Raw genomic sequence first — 6,100 nt, 5'->3', positions numbered from 1 at the left:
AAGAATATGGCTGAGGCTGGTGGTTGAGACAACAAGGGCAAATGAGTTTACCCAGGGGGATTATGCAGAGTGGGGAGAGGAGAGAAGAAAAAGAGGCTCTGGCATGGCCCTGAGGAACTTCAGTGGTGGGATTGGGCAGAGGAGGAGAAGAAGGGGGAGAAAAAGGGATGGGAGAAGAAAGAAGGGGAGAGAATGAGAGAAAAAGGAAAAGCGTGGAATGAGAGGGTCCCTCAGGAAGAAAGAATTAATGGATACGAGATCAAGGAGCCCTTACTACCTGTCCTGGAGTAGATTGAGCAGAGGAATCAGGGTGAGGCTGCTTGCAGTGGGCTGAAGATGTTATAGGACCAACAGGCTCATATGCCCAATGCACAATAACTAACCAATTACACTAAGACAGCAAAAATGCAGCAAAAAAAGAATGTAATCATCACAGGGCACCCCACATCAAGCAAGGAGATGGGAGGAGAACCTCAAATCCATCTCCCCAAGGAGTTCTGGGCTGGAGTTATTTATTAAGGGGATCGTGGAGGATGAGGGGTTGTTGATTTGTCGGGGCAAGGGGGATGAAATCATCAGGATATGGAAACTGCATTCTTTGGTGAGTCAGCTTTTCATGGAGTCCTTCAGGTCAGCTGGCATCAGTGGGGTCCTTCAGACCAGCTGAAATAGTAGTTTCTTCAGTATGCAGAACCTGCAGGAATATCTCAAAGGGAAAACAACATTTCATAATGTTCAAATTGTTATCTGTAGAGCAGTTAAGAGGAACTGTAATCATGTAACAGGGTCTACATGATTCTAAGACAGTAGGCACAAACAGCTATGTGGAAACAGGCCAGAGAGTAAGTTGACTTGATTAAAGCTGAATATGCTGCAAGCTTGGTTTATTTTACTTTTTCCCCTCCTTTCTTCCCTAATTTTATGAAGTTTATAGGGGAGGTTTCAAGGGTTGAAGCAGAGATGAGATGAGTCCAATCTCCAGAGTATACATCTCTCCTGTGAGAAACTTGGCTATGCTCTGGGTTGAGATTGGGTGAAGGTTATATGCTGGCAAGGTATGCATAGTCCAGGATCAGGTATTTTGTTTGTCCAAACAGCATGGTGCAGTTTTGGAACCGATGGGGAAGGAGCCAGAAAGGTAGAGCCAAAATTACAGAAAGACACAGAGAGAAATTGAAAGAGCAATAGAGATGTAAAGTGATACAAATATTTAGAAAGATGGAAAATAATGACCCAGAGAATAAAGAGATAATGAAGGGACAGAAAATAAAGATACAGAGAATGAAGATAATGATAAAGAAAAACAGGGAGAAGGCCCTGTCTGCATTGCTTGGCTGCTTCAGGGAAGGGGGCAAGGGAGACTGAGTGGAGGGTAAGAGGGTGTCAAAAGAGCCTACGAAGGGATGTGCCCTGGGGTCTACACTGGACAAAGGCAAAGCTGTAACATAGATATATTATTATTTTGTTTTTCTTCTTGTTACCTTTGTAACTATGAATTCTATGCCTTTATTCCTTAATTTTTCATCTAATTAATTTATGTTGCAATCTTTAGCATTCTGTCCTGCTTTCTCAGGTTTGTTTTCTTTTTCTTTTCTTTTCTTTACTTTTTTTTTTTTTTTTTTTTTTTTTTGAGACAGAGTCTTGCTCTGTCACCCAGGCTGGAGTGTTGTGGTGTGATCCCAGCTCACTGCAACCTCCACCTCCCGGGTTCAAGCAGTTCTCCTGCCTCAGCCTCTCGAGTAGCTGGGATTACAGGCATGCACCACAATGCCCAGCTAATTTTTTTGTATTTTTAGTAGAGACAGCGTTTCACCATATTGGCCGGGCTGGTCTCAAACTCCTGACCTCGTGATCCACCTGCCTCGGCCTCCCAAAGTGCTGGGATTACAGGTGTGAGCCACTGTGCCCGGGGGTTTAACTGTTTTCTAACTTATTGATTTAAAAGCATAATTCATTTATGTTTGTTTCATCACTGGCAATCAGTATCGCAATTCTATCTACATAAGATGAAGATATTAGAGGTTTTTATTTTCCTATCACTTTCTGACAGTCATTGTTTTGCTGTTACATTTTCGATGCTGATAACATTCCTATTCTGTTCTGTAAATATAACTAGGTCTACCAGACCTTGTATATGGATTGATTCTAAAACTGAAAACCAGTACACGTCATTTACATTATTGACAAAATGAATCAACAGAGACTGAGAACATTACCAGGACATCTGGCAGCCTATATGATGGTCTTGTGTACCTAAGAGAAAGGTGACCCATTTAGACAGATGAATATGGAAAGAGCCTCCTTTTTGGATGGCTGCAGCCCTGTGTGGGTGGGACTTGACAAGTAGAGCATAGCCTGGATTTCAGCCCCAACTTGTACTTTTGACTCTGCAACTTTGTGCCCTGCACGAATTTCACAACCCTATAACAAAGCTGACCTGAGGCCACCCTGAATGTTTCCCCCTCAGGTCAGCTGGTGCTTAGACACAGGTTGACTCTGAAACTGAGCTCTCTGTATTCAATCTGGAATGACCTATACCGACCTGGTTTAGGGCCTGAGACTGAGTATCTCAAGGCAAAGAATAAGGGTAACCCCTGGAATTGCTGAAATTAGAAAACAAAAGGCAGAGTGAAATCCACTACCTAGACTTGGTGTCCTGATGTCCTATAATTTCTATTCCACTGTGGTGAAAAAATAAAAATTGTGTTTCATCTATGGTGGACTGTCATCCTCAATTTTAAGGACAGACCCTTAAAACAGTGTGAACATAGTACCAACCCCATTGTGGTTTTGTAAGGGTTAAGTAAGATATATAAAGCACTATTGACTAGCAATGAGTGCTCAGTAAATGTCAGCAAATTAGCGGGAGTTAAACAAGTATAGTGAGTGAGAAGTTTAGTGGAAAAGGAAAGGACAGAGGATGGGGCTGCCTGGCATGATGTTGGGAAGCCAAGAAGTCTTCAATAAGTACTTGCTGATGTCTGACTGATTAGGACGGGAGCTTGCAAGGCAATGTGGAGTGGTCCCAAAAGCTCAGACCTTGGGGACAAGGGACCAGAAACATTGGCTGTGACTTTTTGGACAAATCACTCTTCCCTCTCTCTGGGCCACAAGTTCTTTATCTGCCACAGGCAATATCAATCCTGCCAGCCATAAATAGATCCCTGGGCACTGGCAAGAAGGAAATGTATGAGAGAACACTTTGGAAAACCAAATGCATTTTCTTTAACAGTATATTGATCACCTAGGAGTTACACTAAGTCTATTAGGCACACAGCCTTCAAACTGGGGGATGGTTACTCCTGGTGGCACACAAAGAGGTTGCAAAGGGTTCATAGGAACGTGTCATTTTAAGGGAATCAATTTCCACATCCTCAGCTTCAATACTTACTCTTTTCTAAAACCGACCTGCCCAAGTACCCGTTCTCCCTCACCACCTCTACTTTTACAATCCTTCCTGTTTACAAAAGAAAGGCAAGCCTCACACTACCCTAGAGCACTAGTCACAGAGTGTCAAAAACCTCCAGGCATCCAACAAAGGGGAAATTCCAAATACTGATTTTGTTGTTGAGAAAGTGAGTGATTGTGTTAGTAGGAAATAAATCCTTTTGTGAACCAAATGCTTTCTAATTATTTGCTTTCAACAAAATGGATAAGAAGAATGTAATGGAGTTGGCAGCTAGTAAATCATTATGAATAATTTTGATGATGAATCAGTATATGATTTTTAGCATAAGGAGTTCAAAGAACTGAGTGACTTTGTTATAACAAAATGTTCATTCATTCTTATCTACTTATTTATTTCCCAGTTCTTAAATCTATATAAATGAAAAACAGGAAGAGCAGTGTCTCTTAATGCTGTCTCATTCTAACAGTAAATTATATTGACCTGTGGATACCTCAACTAGTTTTAGAAGTTCCATTGATCTCATGGGGATATGTTTCCAATAAAATTTTACCTTCTGTGTTTTTTCAAATATGTAATTTATGTTTTTTATCAGTTACATACTAATAATTATAACTCAATCTTGAAGAAAAATTTAATACTTAGATCCTTATAGCTCTGAGAGATAAAAATATTTAATTTCAGTCTATATATAGATTTTTATTGTGAGAAGTATGACAAGGTAATCAAGAAATGATGCCAATTTCTCAAACAACATACAAATGGCAAACAGGTATATGAAAAGGTGCTCAACGTAATTGATCATCAGAGAAGTAAAAATCAAAACTACAATGAAATATCATCTTACTCCAGTTAAAATGACTTTTATCCAAAAGACAGGCAATCACAAATGCTGGTGAGGGTGTGGAGAAAAGGGAACCCTTGTACATTGTTGGTGGGAATGTAAATTAGTACAACCACTATGGAAAACAGTTTGGAAGTTCCTTGAAAAATAAAAATAGAGCCACTGATCCAGCAATCCACTGCTAGGTGTGTACCCAAAAGAAAGGAAAAAGAAAGGAAATCAGGATATCAAAAAGGTATCTACACTCCCATATTTATTGCAGCACTATTCCCAATAGCCAAGATTTGAAAGCAACCTAAGTGTAAATCAATAGATGAGCGGATAAAAAAAAGTGGCACATATACACAATGAAGTACTACTCAGCCATAAAAAGAATGAGATCCTGTCATTTGCAACAACATGGATGAAACTGGGGTCATTAAATAATCCAGGCACAGAAAGGCAAACATCACATGTCCTCACTTATTTGTGGGAGCTGAAAATTAAAACAATTGAACTCATGGAGATAGAGAGTAGAAGAATGGTTACCAGAGGCTGGGAAGGGTAATTGTGGGGTGATGGGGAAGTGGAGATGGCTAATGGACACACAAAAAAATAGAAAGAATGATTAAGATCTAGTGTTTCATAGTGCAACAGGTTGACTGTAGTAAGAAATAATGTAATTGTACATTTAAAAATAACTAAAGGAGTATAATTGAATTTTCTGTAACACAAAGGACAAATGCTTGAGGTGACAGACACCGATTTACCCTGATGTGATTATTACACACTATACACCTGTATCAAAATATCTCATATACCCCATAAATATATGTACCTACTATGTACCCACAAAAATTAAAAATTAAAAAAGAAATGATGTCAAATATAAAAAATTCATTAAGACAAAATTCTTTGGAGAAATGAAATGTAAGTTCTACCAGAATTTGTGTTCTCACATCTGGCTGGTGTGAGCATGACAAAAAAGTCAGCCTGTACATCAAACTAATTAGAAAAGTGTATAATATTGTTTTTCAGGTTTAATTGGATTCAACTTTATCTGCTGAGAGCTTCTCATGGAGTACTTTTGCTATGCAAGTGTTACTTATTGTGCAAGCAATTGTCTGAGGAATAGTGTTTGAAGAGTCCTGAGCATGTGATGCATGTGGGTATTTTGTTTAACTAAAAAAGAGTTTGGATATATCATCAATATTTGTGATGAACAGAAATAACTTTGTTTGTTATATTGAGACATATTACTGGTAAACAACTTTATGCTATCTAGGGTAGATTTAATTTCTTAAGCTAGCCTATTTGGCTCTTTCCTCTAATTTCCACTGGAAATTGGATACGTTCAGCATTTTATCCAGTAAGCAGATGAGAGGATGGGGAATTGCCAAGTGGTAGAATTTCAGGCTTGATCCAACAACCCTAGAAGATCCTCGCTTGTTCTCTGTTGGCAGTGATTATATTCAAAAGGAGTTTCTGTAGTGGATTTATCAATTGGCCTGACTAGAGAAAAGAACATAAGGTATGGGAACTGTCACAAATGGGGAACATTTGTACAAATTCAAGATGAAGAGTCAATTCTAATGCAGACAAAAGTCCAGACAATGAAGACTTCCTAGAGATAACACTGTTCAAACTTGTCCTTGATCGGATACACTCTGCTCTGCCAAGAACACAACTCATATATCATAGTTATTCCCAAAAGCATAGATCTTAGCAGGCAATACAAGTTTTACCTTCTGTAATTATATTGATATATTGTTTGCATTCTGTGAAAAATGACACTTAATGCTAATTTTAAAATGTACATGTTTCTGTTATCAAGTCAATGTAGTACAGCTTTATGAGCCATTGGGTCAAAA

Source organism: Homo sapiens, chromosome X, assembly GCF_000001405.40.
Source record: "Homo sapiens chromosome X, GRCh38.p14 Primary Assembly".
NCBI classification, from domain to species: domain Eukaryota; kingdom Metazoa; phylum Chordata; class Mammalia; order Primates; family Hominidae; genus Homo; species Homo sapiens.
The sequence above is the reverse complement of the archived record's forward strand: the minus strand, read 5'-3'. Positions refer to the sequence as shown.